This window comes from Homo sapiens, chromosome 3, assembly GCF_000001405.40.
Source record: "Homo sapiens chromosome 3, GRCh38.p14 Primary Assembly".
Taxonomy (NCBI): Eukaryota; Metazoa; Chordata; class Mammalia; order Primates; family Hominidae; genus Homo; species Homo sapiens.
Window position 1 is genome coordinate 177,578,522 of NC_000003.12, and position 17,967 is coordinate 177,596,488.

General features: G+C 40.3%; 1 long non-coding RNA gene across 1 annotated transcript in view, besides 3 other annotated features; it reads left to right on the forward strand.

The window, feature by feature from the left end:
* LINC00578 (long intergenic non-protein coding RNA 578) overlaps positions 1–17,967 on the forward strand; it is a 310,784-nt gene that overhangs the window by 136,601 nt on the left and 156,216 nt on the right. The gene's annotated exons all lie outside the window — the stretch shown is intronic.
* Positions 5,031–5,198: a silencer, noted in NCBI's record as "fragment chr3:177301340-177301507 (GRCh37/hg19 assembly coordinates)". NCBI's record gives its function as "represses an EF-1alpha promoter that drives an FKBP-Casp9 reporter gene in an ReSE screen in K562 erythroleukemia cells {active_cell/tissue: K562}" and the evidence as "EXISTENCE:reporter gene assay evidence [ECO:0000049][PMID:32094911]".
* Positions 10,426–10,626: a silencer, noted in NCBI's record as "peak4935 fragment used in MPRA reporter construct". NCBI's record gives its function as "represses an SCP1 promoter by STARR-seq MPRAs in K562 erythroleukemia cells {active_cell/tissue: K562}" and the evidence as "EXISTENCE:reporter gene assay evidence [ECO:0000049][PMID:32103011]".
* Positions 11,426–11,626: a silencer, noted in NCBI's record as "peak4936 fragment used in MPRA reporter construct". NCBI's record gives its function as "represses an SCP1 promoter by STARR-seq MPRAs in K562 erythroleukemia cells {active_cell/tissue: K562}" and the evidence as "EXISTENCE:reporter gene assay evidence [ECO:0000049][PMID:32103011]".

The window sequence follows — 17,967 nt, forward strand, 5'->3', positions numbered from 1 at the left end:
AGGCAGGAGAATCGCTTGAACCCAGGAGGCAGAGGTTGCAGTGAGCCAAGATAATGCCACTGGATGCCAGCCTGGGTGACAGAGCGCGACTGTGTCTCAAAAAAAAAAAAAAAAGATATTTTAGGGCAAAATTCAGCCTTTGTCTCTATGGTCTCAGCAGCTCTTTGAGAGTTTCTACTACTTTTTTCAGTTCCTCTTAAAGTATAAGATGCTTGAGGTTGAGGGCTGGATTCGTTAACGTAATACTTTTTGTGTGTATCTCGTTTTACATTTAATCATTACAACATGTTTCTGATGTTGATATTATTTTTATTTTAAAACCAATCAATCAATAGATATTAACTGGACATCTACATGCCAGACAGTGAATAAGACCAAGTCTTGTCCTTAAAGAACTTACATTCAATAAACAGTTGAATTACATTCAATAGACCTAAGACCAACTGCCTCATTTTCGAGGTGAAGACACTGAGGCTCCAAGAGTTGAAGTGTTTTGTTCATGGTCAGCTAACTAGTCAGGTCAGAACCAGGACCGAACCAAGTCTCCCAGGCTCATGTTCTTCCTTATGTTGCAGGATTAAATTGCACAGCCTATAGCTTCCCTGTAGGTATCTGTGCAATGATGTGGTGAAAAATCTGTTTGGAATAAATATGCTTATGAGATGCTTAGGGTGGAGATGAAGATCTCAGGGGTATGTTCAACAAAAGAGTCTATTGATTAGATTAGGAAAGGCCCCCCAACAAAGCAAAAGATGAGAAAGTAGACATAAAAGGAAATAGGAGAAGGAGAATAGGGGCAATAAGGATGTTAGGGCAGTGTACCAGTCAATTCAGTGGCTTCTAACTCCAAAGCTACAAGTAAGATCTGCTAAAATAGTCATGAGTGCTTGGTATGTGTGGAGTCAAGTTCTGTGGGGTCTGAAGTTCATGCAGTTGAAGAGGACTTCTTTCTGAAAAATGGCATCAAGTCACAAGTGAAGCAAATAGAAACAGAGTTTTGGAAGGAACCTGCGTGAGAACCTGTGAAGGTTATGCATCACGAGCTCATCAGCCTTATGACGAATCCACCTCTGAGAGGATCCAGATGCATTCAGAGGGTGTGGGAAATGGTGAAGGGATGGAATGCAATGTCTGGGTTGAGGTGGGGCAAAGCGGTGACAGTATACATATATGTTGTGAGAAGGGCTTGGAATGAGAATGCAAGTTCTGATGAATTAGCAGAGATTTGAAGAGGTGTTTGGACCTCCCTCCAGAGCAGCTTGGGGTGTGTGTGTGTGAGGTTGAGTCAATCTTATCTACGGCCCTGAAGACAGGAGATCCCTTGCTATTACAGAGTTTTTTTTTTTCTTTTAATTAAATTAACAAATAAGCCAGGCATGGTGGCATGTGCTATAGTCCCAGTTAATCAAAAGGCTGAGCTGGGAGGATTGCTTGAGCCCAGGAATTCAAGGCCAGCCTTGGCAACTTAGTGAGGCCCTGTTTCTAAATAAAATAAAATAAATTAATCAATTAACGAATGAAATGGTTACTGTTTCTTTTTATGCATTCTATACTCCAGTCAAATTGAAATACTTGTTGTTTTAATAATGTACAAATAAATATATTTTTATACCTGAAAATTTCAGAGAAAATAACAAGGTGCATTAACAGGAAGGTCTATGGTGATGGTGGAAAAATTATTCAGGATTTTGGCCCAATGGTGACTGATTTCTAAAATGAAGACTGACATAACTTTTATAGGTAAGAATCTAATGGACCAGTTATTATTAGGTACAAAATTAACTTACAGAAACATTTTTGGAGCACCTGTCTGGAGCCGTGTTCCAGATAACAGTAAGATAATGAAAAATAAGACAATAATTCTCCCCTCAAAGAGAAGATAGACCATTTAAGGGTTATCTCAATATTTTGGGAACAGGCAGAAAGATAGGATTGAAAAATCATTGGATTCTTAAGGAAATCCTGCCATTAACTAAAGGCAGTAGCTTGAGCTTGGCAGAGTCAGCTATTTAAATTCCCTGGACGTTGCATTGAAGATTAGCTAGCTGTTCCCCAATCCATTTTCTCTTCCTCTTGGGTACACAGCAAAACTAGATTTTCCAGCCTCTCTTCCAGTTAGGTGTGCTGATGTGAATGAGTTCTGAACAATGGAAGGTGGTTAGAAGCAATCGTACCTTGAGGAGTTACCCTTAAGAACCTCTCACAGGAAATCTACATTCTTTCTACTACAATGACAATCTTGGGAGCATTGTGGAGAAATGGAGCCAGGAGATGGAAGAAATCTATGTCCCTGAATTATGGCTTTGAAAGTAAGAAAAGAGACCTACTAATCAAGAATACCTATTTTGCACATGTGTGGGAAATAGATAGCTATTGTATTAACCCCCTAAGATTTTGGGTTTTTCACAGGGACTACATTATCCTGATTCTGGGTTCAACAAACTGTGACCTATAGGTCAAACTCAGCCCATGGCTCACTTTTGTATAGCCCATGAGATGGTTTTAAATTATTTTATATTTTTATGAGGTTATTGGGAAAAAAAATGCAACAGAGACCACATGTGGCCCACAAAGTCTAAAATATTTACTATGTGGCCTTTTATTTTTTATTTTTTCAAGACGGATTCTTCCTCCATCACCCAGGCTGGAGTGAAGTGTTACAATCTCGGCTCACTGCAACCTCTGCCTCCCAGGTTCAAGCAATTCTCCTGCCTCAGCCTCCCTAGTAGCTGGGATTATAGACGCATACCATCACCACTGGCTAATTTTTGTATTTTTAGTAGAGACTGGTTTCGAACTTCTGACCTCGTGATCTGCTCGCCTTGGTCTTCCAAAGTGCTGAGATTACAGGTGTGAGCCACTGCACTGGGCCCTCTAGGTGGCCTTTTATAGAAAAAGTTTGCCAATCTCTATTTTAACCCACACGGAAATTTCATATGACAGAAATGTTCCAGACAGACATGAAGTCCTCAGACGGGCATGGTGGCTCACATCTGTAATCCCAACACTTTGGGAGGCCAAGGCACGTGACTTACCTGAGGTCAGAAGTTTGAGACCAGCCTGGTCAACATGGTGAAATCTTGTCTCTACTAAAAATACAAAAATTAGCTGGGTGTGGTGGTGCATGCCTGTAGTCTCCGCTACTTGGGAGGCTGAGGCAGGAGGATTGCTTGAACCCGGGAGGCAAAGGTTACAGTGAGCCAAGATCGTGCCACTGCACTCCAGCCTGGGCAACAGAGTTAGACTCTTGTCTCAAAAAACCCAAAAAAACTCACAACAGATAGGAAGTCCTCTAGTTATATTAAAGTTACTTTTCATATGCAAATATATTTAAATATATTGAAAAAAGAACGATAGATTTCTACTTCCAGAAAAAGTGGAATAACAGATTGGTTTTACCAGACTGGCTTTACCTTCTGATTTGAAACCATTTTTTTTTTTCTGGAGACGAAGTCTCGCTCTGTTGCTCAGGCTGGAGTGCAATGGTGCAATCTCGGCTCACTGCAACTTCCATATCCCAGGCTGGAGCGACTCTCCTGCCTCAGCTTCCTGAGTAGTTGGGATTACGGGCGTGAGCCACTGTCCCTGGCCCTGAAACAGTTTCTAAAAACCTAAAAACTCAAATACATGGTTTTCAAGACATTGAATGTTAGTCAATGAAGAAGTGACCCCGAAGAGATAGGAAACAAATGAAGTGAGTTGTGTGATAAGGCAGCCTGTTGCCTGTTGCCCAAGAGAACTTCCAGGTCTCCTGTGTGTGAGTTGGGGGAACCTGGAGTGGCCCAGCTGCCTCTTTGCACAGAGGAGGCAGGGCTGGGCAGCTGAGGAGGCTAAGTTGGCTAATCTTCACAAGGCAGAGAACTAGGTTGAGAGCTGCATACAGAAAGAACTGTGGCAAGGTGCAGAGATCCCCAAGTATGCTGTTGATCACTGATTAACATATTCATGTGAGAAAATTACTTTAGTCCAGGGGAAAACCTGTCCAAGAAGAGTAGAGGAAACAATCCCTAGAGTGCATGCAGCCAGGACTGGGAAGAGTTTCTATTGCCACCAAACAGAAAAGAAAAACCTCAAAATAAATAGGACATCTGGTAGAGCACTTAGAGGGATTTGCCTTAACAGTAGGGCGCAATAGCCCTAGACTAGATGCTGTTCTAGTTTACTTAATAGAGCTCAAAAGCAAGATCCAGGAAGATTAAACTTTTTCCATGTAATTCACCTGCATCCCAAAACACAACTCAAGAATATTTGTAGGAAAATAAAAATATCCAATTCCTACAAAGGTAAAATTTACAATGTCAGGCATCCAATAAAAAATTACTTCTCAAAAGAAGACAGTTATACAGCCAACAAACATATGAAAAAAAGCTAATCATCACTGGTCATTAGAGAAATGCAAATCAAAACCACAATGGGATACCATCTCGTGCCAGTTAGAATAGCGATCATTAAAAAGTCAGGAAACAACAGATGCTGGAGAGGCTATGGAGAAATAGGAACACTTTTACCCTGTTGGTGAGAGTGTAAATAGTTCAACCATTATGGAAGACAGTGTGGCAATTCCTCAAGGATCTAGAACCAGAAATACCATTTGACCCAGCTGTCCCATGACTGGGTACATACCCAAAGGGTTATAAATCATTCTGCTATAAAGACCCATGCACATGTTTGTTTATTGCAGCACTATTTACAATAGCAAAGACTTGGAACCAGCCCAAATGCCCATCAATGATAGACTGGATAAAGAAAATGTGACACATATACACTATGGAATACTATGCAGCCATAAAAAAGAATGAGTTCATGTCCTTTGTAGGGACATGGATGAAGCTGGAAGCTATCATTCTCAGCAAACTAACACAGGAACAGAAAATCAAACACTGCACGTTCTCACTCATAAGTGGGAGTTGAACAATGAGAACACATGGACACAGGGAGGGGAACATCACATACTGGGGCCTGTCGGGGTACTGGGGGGGCAAGGAGAGGGAGAGCATTAGGACAAATACCTAATGCATGTGGGGCTTAAAACCTAGATGACAGGTTGATGGGTGCGGCAAACCACCATGGCACATGTATACCAATGTAACAAACCTGCACATTCTGCACATGTATCCCAAAACTTAAAGTAAAAAGTAAAAAATAATTACCATACCCAATAAGAAATGGTTGGAGGACTTAAGCAGATGGACTTAAGCAGATACTTCGTCAAAGAAGATATAGGGATGGTAAATAAGCATGTGATAGATGTTCCAATTCATTAGTCATTAAGCAAATGCACATTAAAACCACAATGAGATGTCACTACATTGCCTGTTAGGATGTCGAGATTTAAAGACTGTCTCTAAGTTTTGCTGAGAATATGGAGCAAGAGAACTCTCATATACTACTGGTAGGAATGTAAAATAGTATAACCACTTTTTGAAAACTGGTGTTTTTGTTTGTTTGTTTGTTTTTTTGAGACGGCGCCTTGCTCTGTCACCCAGGCTGGAGTGCAATGGCGCGATCTCGGCTCACTGCAACCTCCGCCTCCCAGGTTCAAGCGATTCTCCTGCCTCAGCCTCCCGAGTAGCTGGGATTACAGGCACCCACCACCATGTCTGGCTAATATTGTTATTTTTAGTAGAGATGGGGTTTCACCATATTGGCCAGGCTGGTCTCGAACTCCTGACCTCAGGTGATACACCTGCCTCGGCTTCCCAAAGTGCTGGGATTACAGGCGTAAGCCACTGCACCCAGCCAAGGTGTTTTTTGTTTGTTTGTTTGTTTGTTTTTAAATAACGGAACATTTACTGTATGACTTGGCCATAAATACGAGGTGTTTATCCAAGTAAAATGATAGCTTATCTCTATACAAAGATACGTACATAAATTTTCCTAGCATCTTTATTTGTAATAGCCCCAAGCTGGAAACAAAGCAAATGTTTGTCAATAGGGTAATGGATAAACAAGCTGTAGTAAATCTTTATGTATTAGTTTGTTAGGGCTGCCATAACAAAATACCCCTTAGTGGCTTCAACAACAGAAATGTATTTTCTCAGTTTTGGAGGCTAAAAGTCCAAGATCAAGATGTCAGTAGGTTTGATTTCTCCTAAGGCCTCTCTTCTGTGGTTGCCTTCTCCTTGTGTTCTTATTATGTTCTCTCAGTGCATCCTTGAGGTCTTATGCATTCTGTGCTTCAGTCAAATGTACCTAATGCTTCTGCAGGTATCTAATCTCCTCTTTTTATAAAAACACCAGTCAGAAAGGATTAGGGCTTACCCTCATGGCCTCATTTCAACTCAATTATATCTTTAAAGCCCCTATCTCCAAATGCAGTCACATTCTGAAGTATTAGATTCTGGAACTTCAATGTAGGAATTTTGGGAGGACACAATGTAGTCCATAACACTAAGTAATAGAATACTACTCAGCAATAAAAAGGAAAGAACTATTGATACATGCTACAACATGGATGAATCTCAAAATAATGATGCTGAATGTAATAAATTAGACCGGAAAAAGGAAATACTTTATGATACCATTTATACAAAATTCCAGAAGCTGCAGACTACTTTATGGTGACAGAAAGGATCATTGGTTGCATGGGGATGTGAGAAGGTAAGAGGGTGAGACTGCAAAGGGGCAGGAGGAAACTTGTGGAGGTGATGGATGGGTTCATTTTCAAGCTGGTGGTGATGGTTTTATGGATGTATATGTATGTCAAAATGTTTTACATTGCAAATTTTAAATATGTGTAGTTTATTGCATTTCAATTATACCTTATAAAAACGTTTTTTAAAGAGCTATAAACATGTTATAACTTCATTTATAACCCATGGCAGGCCTAAGTTCACATGGCAATTTTGTTGTTTTAATAATAATAATAACGATAACTACCAAAAAAAGTGACCTGTGTGGGTGAATCATAGTGGTTTTGGGTTTTATCTGCTTTGAGCACCTGCTATTTTGCTTGTGCTGCACTGCTGTCCTCCTTTCCCCTGGAGGAAGCACCTCCAGTCTTTTGGTAACTGTTCCTTTCCCTGCTCTCATCATGGGGATGCAAGAAGAATACCTGCTTTTTTAGACACAATTGATTGGCTGATGGGTGGGCACTTCGAACCTAGTTTGTCCAATCAGATCACTTTCTTGGGGTTTTTCTTACTAAAACTGTGATGAGTTACATCATGCTGGAGATAGAAGCTATGGGATGAAGAGTTTCTGACTGGTGGTTTCCATGTTTTCTTCCATCTGGAGAAAGTTAGTGTGTGCTGAGAGAGAATGAAGCCCACACAGAGAGAGGCAGAAATGACAGCTGGAGGGAGAGGTTTGGCATTGTTTGAGGTTCTGGTTCTGGTTTCATTTATTCCTGAGAACCAGTGATATCCCTGACCTTTCCATAATTTTCATTTTTCCACATTTCCTTATATTTTTTGTGCTAATAATTTCCTCATTTATCAAGTTAATTCAAGTTAGGCTCCTGTCATACCAAACACCGTCCACAGTTTGTTATGTATTTAAGACATACATTTCTAATTTCTCTTTCAATGCCGGAGATCCTGAAATATCTCTGAGCAAATAATTGGGAGTAGGTCTGACCAAATCAACAATTCCACTTAATTCAACACATGTTTATCAAATACCTACCAAGCCAAGACAGTCTCATCAAGAATGCATGTAAATGGCCACTCAGAATTGGAACAGCTAAATAATTTTGAGATATTCCACTATAAATAATTTTGTAGCAAACTCCCAAGTGTACATTGCTGAAAAAAATAGATGGAGCCCCAAATTGAACTCATTAGAAATATGACCATAGGGAAATGAAAATCATTCAATGATAACTTTTATTTTCTTAGCATTTCCTGGATTCTAAATCAACTGTGGGCTAGAAACTGGCTCTTAGACTTTATCTTTTATGGTAACTTACACCATAATCAAGAGAAAGCTTTTTAGTTCCAAGGAATTGTAATTCAGTAAGATACTCTAAATTCAGTCATCCATTTCTCCCTGTTGCCCCAAACCACTAGGAAGTAAAGAAACTGAGCAAAAGCTGTATAGCTCTTCATTATAATGCTACTGTTTTGTTTTGTTTCATTTATTATTATTTTTTAATTTGTCTTTTGTGTTGCACATGACAGGTGATTGGGTATTTTCTTAGTGGTTTAAGGAGTAAACCACTAAGTCTTCCATGTCACTAGAGGGTTTTAAAAATAAAGTGTGGTGGTGTTTCTTGATAACAGAGTTGAGTATCAAGTGCACGTGTCTCCCTCGTATAGGGTTAAATAGTCATGGTGAGAATGTCTTAGAAATGATCAGATAAGGCCAGGCGCGGTGGCTCACGCTTGTAATCCCAGCACTTTGGGAGGCCGAGGCAGGTGGATCATGAGGTCAGGAGATTGAGACCATCCTGGCGCTAACACGGTGAAACCCCATCTCTACTAAAAAAAAAAAAAAAATTAGCTGGTCGTGGCAGCACACGCCTGTAGTCTCAGCTACTTGGGAGGCTGAAGCAGGAGAATCGCTTGAACCCGGGAGGCGAAGGCTATAGTGAGCCAAGATCGCACCACTGCACTCCAGCCTGGGTGACAGAGCAAGACTCTGTCTCAAAAATAAATAAATAAATAAATAAATAAATAAATAAATAAATAAATCATATCATGGCAAGTAGAGTGCTAAGCAGAGTATAGGTACTTAATAAATAGCTACTAACCGATTACATAGTAAGAGGTATTCAGAAAATGTATACCCAACATTCACATATGAAGCTGCTTCTATCTTAAAGTTTGTTAAGAAATTCTTTAAAAATTAATAAAATCTTAAAAAAGCACATGCTCTTAGGAAGGTTTCAAGGTTTTTATTGTTTGTTTTGTTTTTTGGAGCAAGCATGAATTTGTTTCTCTGTTTTTGCCTTGTTACCAAACCCGAACTATCTCTAACTCATCAGTCCAGGAGAGGAACCCAGTATTATCTTGCCAAAATGTAATTTTTAATATTTCTCACATTATCAAACTGTAATTCCTGCTCCCATAGGGCCCTTTGCCATCACTAAAATACCTTACTTTTCCATCTATCGCTCCCTTTGATTAGTCACAGTTTAGAAGTGATGACTACCTTTTTCTTAACTCATTTTTTAAATTATATAAGTAATATGCTTTTAATAGTATAAATGTTGTGTTAGGCAGTTTTCTTGCTATAAAGAAATACCTGAGGCTGGGGAATTTATAAAGAAAAGAGGTTGAATTGGCTCACAGTTCTGCAGGCTGTAGGGGAAGCATGGCGCTGGCATCTGCTTGGCTTCCGGGGAGGCCTCAGAGAGCTTTTACTCATGGCAGAAGGTGAAGCAGGAGCAGGCATCTCACATTGCAAAAGCATGAGTAAGAGAGAGAGGTGGGGGTGCGGGGAGGTGCCTCACATTTTTAAACAACCAGATCTCACCTGAACTTATCACCAAAGGATGATGCTAAGACATTTGTGATGGATCTGCCCCATGATGCAAACATCTACCATCCGGCCCCACCTCCAACACTGGTGATTACATTTCAACATGAGATTTGGTGGGGAAACAAATCCAAACCATATCAAACATGAAAAAATGAAGGTGACCCCCTACTCCCCAAAAAGAAAGAAAAATCACTCTTCATTTCCCTGCCCAGAGATGTCTGTTGTTAACCTTTTGGTAGGTTAACAACATCTTGTTTCTTTTTCGTCAGCTTCTTTTGCTTTTCTTCCTCTTCCCTCTTTCTGTCTCTGCCCATTACACACACACACACACACACACACACACACACACACACACACACACTTGTACAGTACATGCCTGCATGTTTCAAACTGCAGTGGAATTGTACTCTTTATCCCATATCATGAAAAATTTTAATGTCAATGAAAACTCACATCCAGTATTATTTCTAATGACAGTACAATGTTTCATTGTGCAATTATACTTCAATATAGCTTCCAGAAAAATTTAAAATATTATCAAGAGGAAGTATAGTCTTTAGGATAAAAGATAAAATGTTATCAAGATGAGGTATCGTTTTTAGGATGCCTCCTAATCCTCTTTATGTAGACTTGACTATGTCTTATAATCTCACTGCTTCATTTCCCACCCATAAAGCAGGACACTTTAAATCTACCCAGCACATTCCACTGGGGTGGTAGGTGGGATTAATTAATACTTTCAAAAATAATTTAGAAAGTGAAAATTGAAGGACTGACCTGAGACAAAAGTGTCAACTAAGAAAGACTGATCTTGAGACTCTGTTTACTTATCTGTAATATGGGATTCATATCAATATTATAGGATTGTAATGAGGATACAAATTAGGTGATAATAAGAAAGCATCAACCACTGACAATGACATCCAAAAAAGAATTCGGTGAACATTAGTATCCTGTCTGGGAGCTCCACTTTTTTACTCTAAGTCTTCCCTGTCTCTTCTTGCTTTGTCAATTTTCCCTCTTGTCCCCACCTCCGGTTCCTGGGAACCTTGTGTTTTCTGTCCTTCCTGTCAAAAGCTCAGCTTTCAGATCCTTCCTTCATCATAAAGTGTCAATACCTAGCAGGTGATTAAAGAACACTTTAACAGGTAGCGGATGTTCAGATGCCTGGAATTTTAGATATCTGCAGCTGGGTGGGGTGAGATAAGACCCAGTGAGTGGGTATTCACTTGCCTTGCTTACCTATTCATTTACCTTGCATGAGTCTACCATGATGACTGGTAATAGTGGGGTTGATATTCAGGATATTTAGCAACCAGTTCTTCCTCATCAGAATGGATGCTGACAGAAAACAAGTGATTTGGCCAGACAGTATGCACTGGCTGTGTGTTAACCTCGGTAAATCGTGTTTAACACACTCTTGTGGTCTTTACTTTGTTAACTGAGCTATTCACTTTGTGGTAGGGTCTGTGGAGCAGTAGAAATAATCTGAGATTTGGGCTTCCATTCAAACCCTGGCTCTGTAATGTCCTGCTTGTGTAATGTTGGCCACAATTTTCTTATCCCTAAAGAAGAATTATACTACCTACCTCATAGAGTTTGTTTGTTTTTGGTGAGGCTCAAAAGTAGTTTCTATAAGGGAATATTTTATAATGAGAAAAATGTGATAGAAATACTAGCTGCTATGATTCAGGAGTTCTTCTTTCTCTATATGTGACAAAGACAGCACCAATTATGCACCAAAGCTATAGATTAAAAAAGATTCCAGATTTAGTATAAATGATAGTTTATATTTTAAGGCTTAGTGAGATGGGGTAAAATGTATATTTCTGGGTACCCATAGCTCTTTCTCATCTATGAAATAAGACTGTCCTAAATCATTCTGAGCTTCCCTCTAACTCTTCAAATCAATGCTTTCAGGGCCAGGGCTTTTTATTGGGCAATTTCTTTGGGGGTTTGAGTCTTCTTTGCCAGGCTACTCGGACTCACTTTAATTGAGTGCAGCTGCGGAGAATTAGCTACCCGCCCCCCTCTCTACTTCAAGGCTAGGCTTGAACAATTCTGTTCTGAATCCATGAGTGGCCCAGAGAATGAAAGAGACAAAAGGTTTCAGGTTTCTCAATCAAAGTTTCCTGTGGTCCTACCCATACCAGCTATTGTGTGCTTTTTTCCCTGAATGACTCAACTCTGACCTGTCATGAAGTGTTTGATATTTATATTTCTGGAAATGGTTAGCCACATTACTAGGTAATAAGGTTGCAAATTCCAAGTCTCCCTTGTAGTCGAGGTCAGATGTTGTCCTGGGAGTGGGTGGGAAGGTAGAGAGGCCAAGATTGAGGCTGCTATGCTTAAGGGCAGATGATGAGATCAAGCCTGGCTGCCTGCATTATTCCCTGGTACTTATCTCTATTTTGGCAAAGGACCTCCTGAGCTCTTAGTTCAAGTTTTCTGGTCTTTTACTTAAATTTGCATGGCTCTTGGATCTTTTCAATTGTTATTATTACTCCATATTTAAATGGAATTTGCCTTAAAACATAAAATATTAGAGGCCGGGCATGGTGGCTCACGCGTGTAATCCCAGCACTTTGGGAGTCCGAGGAGGGCGGATCACCTGAGGTCAGGAGTTCTAGACCAGCCTGGCCAACGTGGCGAAACCTCGTCTCTACTAAAAATACAAAAATTAGCTGGGCGTGGTGGCAGGCTCCTGTAATCCCAGCTACTTGGAAGGCTGAGGCAGGAGAATCACTTGAACCCGGGAGGTGGAGGTTGCGGTGAGCTGAAATCGTGCCATTGCACTCCAGCCTGGGCAATGAGAGTGAAACTCTGTCTCAAAAAAAAAAAAAAAAAAAAAAAAAAAAGAATATTAGCCTGGAAAGAGAGCCACAGGATTAAACAATCCAACCTACTCCTTTGGAGTAGAGGTAATACACATGGAGAAAAGTTTCTTGACTTGCCCTGGGCTACAGAACTGCTAAGTGGAAGAGAGAGGTCTGAAGGGCCTGGTTTCCTGATTCTAAGTCTGTTGTTTTTTCAAGACGACTTTCTGTGCTAATTCCTGTTGGTGTGGTTTGCCCTTGGACACTTCTGATGCTCTCAGCTTCATCCATCTGTTTGTTCCAAATAAACACTATTATTCCCCACATACACACATCCTGGGACATTATCCACATACAGGAATCTAAAAGTGCTCAGGATGTGGCAAAACCCCAGGGAAAGAAGGAAGGGCAGGGGAATAAAAGGGATGGGAGTGAGGTTGCTGGGGGCAACTGAATTCACACTGGCACAATGACCGGTTCAGTCCTAAGTCAATCTAGTTAGGTACTTTAATATTTTAAGTCTTTCCTTGGGATGGCCCAGGGTGGTGGGCCAGCTCCCTCCTCTCTTTGCTCCTCCAATATATAGGCACCTGGAGCCAGAGGGTTTGTTAGTTTTAAGACCCCACCTACATTTCCTATCCTGGGTTACTGACACTGGCAGGGACTGACTTGTAATGGCAGGAGCTGGCTAATCAGTTGCAAGTTCCTGACATCTGGTAATGGAGAGGAACAAAGAGTGGGAGGCCAAATAGGGAACAGACAAGCCCCATGCGGGGTAAAGTGAAATAGGGCAGAAGTGGCTGGGCAGGAAGACCGAGAAACACACACATGACATGTTCAGACATATCCACATTCTCTCACACAGGAAGAGGTGGCGAAAGCCCACAAAAACTATGCTACTCCCAAACACCAGTCACTTCCCTGGTGCATCCATGAAGTTGACTAAACTGCTATACATTCCACTGCCTTAGAGGTCCACAACCCCGTTGAAGAGCTCAGAGTCTAAAGGAGGGAGCTCTTTGGAGCAGGGCAGTGGCTCCCAAGGCTGCCTGACCTTCAGGATCACTGGTGCCTCTTGTTCAATGTGCAGTTTCTGCAGTTGCTTGGTTCCTCTGAAAAGAACCTAACCACCTTTGGGCTTCTCTATTAATAAGCTATACGAGAGATTCTTAGGACAAGGGATGTTTGGGGAAACTGATGGGGAGAAAAGAACCTGGGATGTGGAACCACATGATCCTGTATTAGCTTTGTACTCTTGAGCAAGTGTTTTCTGAACCGAAAACAGAGGAGGTATAGTAATGAGTTCAAAGGTATAGCTCTGGAGCCAGAATGCCTGGGTTTGAAATCCTGGCTCTGTTTCTTATTAGCCTTGTGTCATTAGGCAAGTTATTTAACATCTTTTCCCCTCAATTTCCAATCTGTGAAATAGTGATAATGATTATAGTACTTTTCTTATTTTCGTGAAGACTGAGCTATGACTTAACTAACTTGGAAAGATACCTGGTTCATTGAAAGACTATACAACCATTTGCTGTTAGTATTAAATAGTGGATAATGATGTTATTTCCCATTTTGTTAGGAATTATGTAAGAGGATATAGATAAATTGCTTCATGCAAAGTTGATGCTCAATAAACAGTACCTGCTTTATTGTGAGCTGTATACATAAGAATGTTTACAAACATTGTCTACGTGGGAGCATATTATCATATTGTAAACTGAGTACGTAAGTACTGAAGAGACCTCAGGGAAAGAAGATCCTAGAGTCTTCTGCAAGCCTAATTTATAAGTCAGTGCATCAGCTGAGGCCATCAGGCTAAATTACAGCTGCTCAAAGGGGAGATGAGAATATCCATTATCTTATGAGTGGATCCATTGAAAGTAATGGCAAAAACCGCAATTATTTTTGCACCAACCTAATATGAAGGATAGTGTGGATGAGCAAGGCTCGAGGCAATTGTTATCAGTTCAAATCAACTCAGATCCTCGTGAAAAATCAAATGGATTTTAAAAACCTAGCTCATCGGAAAACTGCCAAAATGCATGAGAACAGCTCCGGAAATCCCATCTGTTTCATATTTACAGAACTTCTCGTTCCTTCAGTCTGGGCACAACTGACTCACTTTTCATTGTGTTCCTATGGCAGAGTGTCTTGTCATTTCCAGAGAAACCAGACAGCAGGTTTGATGTGGGTGAGAAATGCGCATGCCTGCTTTTGTAATTGGTAAGGCTGTCTAAGGATTTGATTCCTTGTGAGCCACATGGGAAAGGGATTATATAATTTAGCAAATTTACAAATATATATTTTAATGTGAGGTAATGATGCCCGGATCATAAACTATGCCTTTTCTTTTGCTCACAGGCACCGCTCTCTAGCCAGACTGCCCGGCTCTATTCTTGTCCCACTACTTAGTAGCCATGTGACTTTGGGCTAGTTACTTAACTTCTTTTTTTTTTTTTTTTTTTGAGATGGAGTTTCACTCTTGTTGCCCAGGGTAGAGTGCAATGGTGCGATCTCGGCTTACAGCAACCTCCACCTCCCGGGTTCAAGCGATTCTCCTGCCTCAGCCTCCCGAGTAACTGGGATTACAGGCATGCACCACGATGCTCGGCTAATTTTGTATTTTCAGTAGAGACGGGATTTCTCCATTTTGGTCAGGCTGGTCTCGAACTCCTGACCTCAGATGATCTGCCTGCCTCGGCCTCCTAAAGTGCTGGGATTACAGGCATGAGCCACTGCGCCTGGTCTAGTTACTTAACTTCTGTGTGTGTCCCAGTTTCCGTGTGGATAAAATGGTTAAAGTAAGAGTACCTATCAGTATTAATTAAAACTACCTGCTGTTACAGCCTCCTAAACCTTAGAACAATAAATATTTATGTCTTGCTCTCACCAACGTCTGGTGGGCATCATGGTGTTTTTTTTTTTTTTTTTTTTTTTTTTTTTTTTTTTTTTTTTTTTGTGGCTCCCTTCCAAATAGTGATTTAATCTAGATCTCTTTCATCATGGGACTTTGTCATCCCCTAGGGCTGTGCTCTCCCGTATGGTCACTAGCAACATGGGGCTTTTGAAATTTAAGTTAATTAAAATAAAATATTAAACTTCACTTCCTAGTCACACCTTAAGTGCTTGTCAGCCACATGTGTCTAGTAATTTGCTACATTGAATAGCACAAATATAAAAAGTGTCTATCTGTTAAAGAAAAAAATTATTCAATGACAATTTTAAAAGCATGATAAGGAAGACATTATGCAGGGTCATTGTCACGGGTAAAAGGACCATGGCAATGGGTCTTGCACTCAGAGAGAGATTGAGTTCAACTGTGAATACAGCATGAGTAAGTAGCGATTTATAGCCGAGAAACAGGGTGTGGGTCAGCGGATGGAAAATTACTAAAAGGCAACATCAGGGGTAAGGGGGATTCTGGCTAAGCCTAACTAAAAGGATTCTTGCTGAAGACAGCCGGTGTTATCAGATATTACCTGTGGCATCATGGAGGATGAGACACGTGATCAGATGTTGAGGGTGGGGAGGTCTTGCCAAACTGATTTGTTCATGCTCTTGCGAAAGCTGGATTTTACAAGGAAATGCACAGATAGGCCTAGGAGAAGGTTCAGGAGTCTAAGTTTGTTCAGCAAAGAATCTTTGTCACATCATCATAGAAAGTTTTATTCCACAGTGATACCTTAGGGCTTCCTTGGAGTTCTCTGCTGCATTGCTTTCATTTAGCCAGCAAGTGAGCAGACAGCCCTCCTGGTATGTTGAAGGACAGTAAGAAAGGGCTTTAGGATTTTTCTGCTTCTATATCATACTAGGCTCAGGGCCTAGTTATCAATAGATCAAAGGAGTATATTTTCTGACTATAGAAGATACAATATGATGTGAGTTCCTTAGGCTTGCTTTTTGATATTCTGCAAAATTATAGAATATGCTCTCTCTAGTTCTTGACATAGCCTGCTTTCGCGCCTATTTGCTGAAAAATGTTATTTGAATATCAGAAGCTGAATATTATTTTGTTTTTTCTCTTTGCTTTCCCTTTGTAACACTCTCCCCACCACTGGTGCAGGAGAAAGTCTCACTAAGCCTGGAGAGAAGGCACTTTAATATTTTTCACACTGTTATCCCTGTTAACACATCTTGCCTCAGTTGACAAATTTCTGCTTCTTTCACAGGGGTCAAACATCAGACTAAACGTGGAACAGTGTGCCTCAGACTAAGACTGCAATCATACAACGGAAATAAAATTGTTTTATTTAACCAATTAGTGACAAGGGAGCAATCAAGTTGTTTTCTTGGCACTGTGTATCCAATTCTATGACTATGATTTTCACCTTTGAAGAAGTTGCATTCTGTTTTCAGGAAGACAATCTTTGGTTGCCTTCCTCACATCATTTTCTGCCTTTTCAAAGTCATGACTAGCGAATATATTAGAAATTTTCTATATAAATCATAAATTTGCCTCTGAATATTATAACAATATTTTATTCATTTTCATACATCATTTGACTCTTCTGCCCTCATTATTTTGTTCTACTTTGATTGTATGTTTGGCCCAGAACACTGAGTGAAGGAGGCATGCAATTGCTGTTTTGAGGGTAACCAGCAGGCCAAAGTTAATTTACACTTGGTGGATTTCCAACTGCAGAGGAGTTGGTGAAATTGTCATTGGAGCTTTTATTTTGAAATATTATGCAGTTTTGTGCTACCACATGTTTAATAAGATTGAACTAACTGAGCACTTGCTACGTGCACAATAGAGAACTAAAAAAAAAAAAAAAAAGACCTGTCACATCACTATTTATTTCCTTCACGGCACTTATTGCATTATCTGATTCTCTTGTTTATTTACTTGTTTACTTACACATTGTCTGTCTTGCCCACTGGAAATGCAGACATTCTGCCCCTCTGTTTTTGTGGTTATAAATCCAGCACCTGGCACAGTGCCTACAACATAGAAAGGTTCAAAATATAGTTTGTTATCTGACAGAAAAAAAAGATGTTTATCTTCTCTGGTAAGAATGTTTTTCCTCTTTCAAATCTCCCATCTCATAAACTTTCCATTCCCAATCATCCTTTGGTTGGTTGAAGCAGCCATTTTCTCCTCTGATATCCCAGTGATGACTCTTAGTACTAGTCATTTGATGTATTATTATACACCAGTTTATAATGACTCTTTTATTCTCATTTAGTTTATGTTTCTCTTACATATCTCTGCACTGATACATGCAACAAGCATTTTGTGAAATGTCAAACACCTCTACAAGTATTGCTTATGATGACTGTTGTAAGCTCCTTGAGGTCAGTGGCGCTAGAATACAATTTCTCTTATTAAACCGTAGTGACTGATCCCTGTGTTATGTCGATGAATAATTAAAGTAGCAATGATTTTGTCTATATCTCTAGAGATGAGGACCAATCATAACCCCACCTCCAATTTGGAGATTATTCTCAACTGTATTTGCATCTTTATGTAAACCCCTCCTATTAGCTTCATCAAGAGGTTTTATCCCCTCCTCTTGGCTTTCAAACCAACATGAATTTTCAGCTGAATATAGGGCAGATTTGCTGTTCAGTGTCAACTTGCTTGAGGTGGGACTGGGAGCAATTCACTTGCTGAAGGAGACTACAGTGAAGTCTTCCAGAAACTCTGGGGAACTGGTCACATTCACAGGTCACAGGCTCTGACTCAGACGTGGCTTTGTCTAGGTTGTGGACTGCTGGAGTCTTTCCA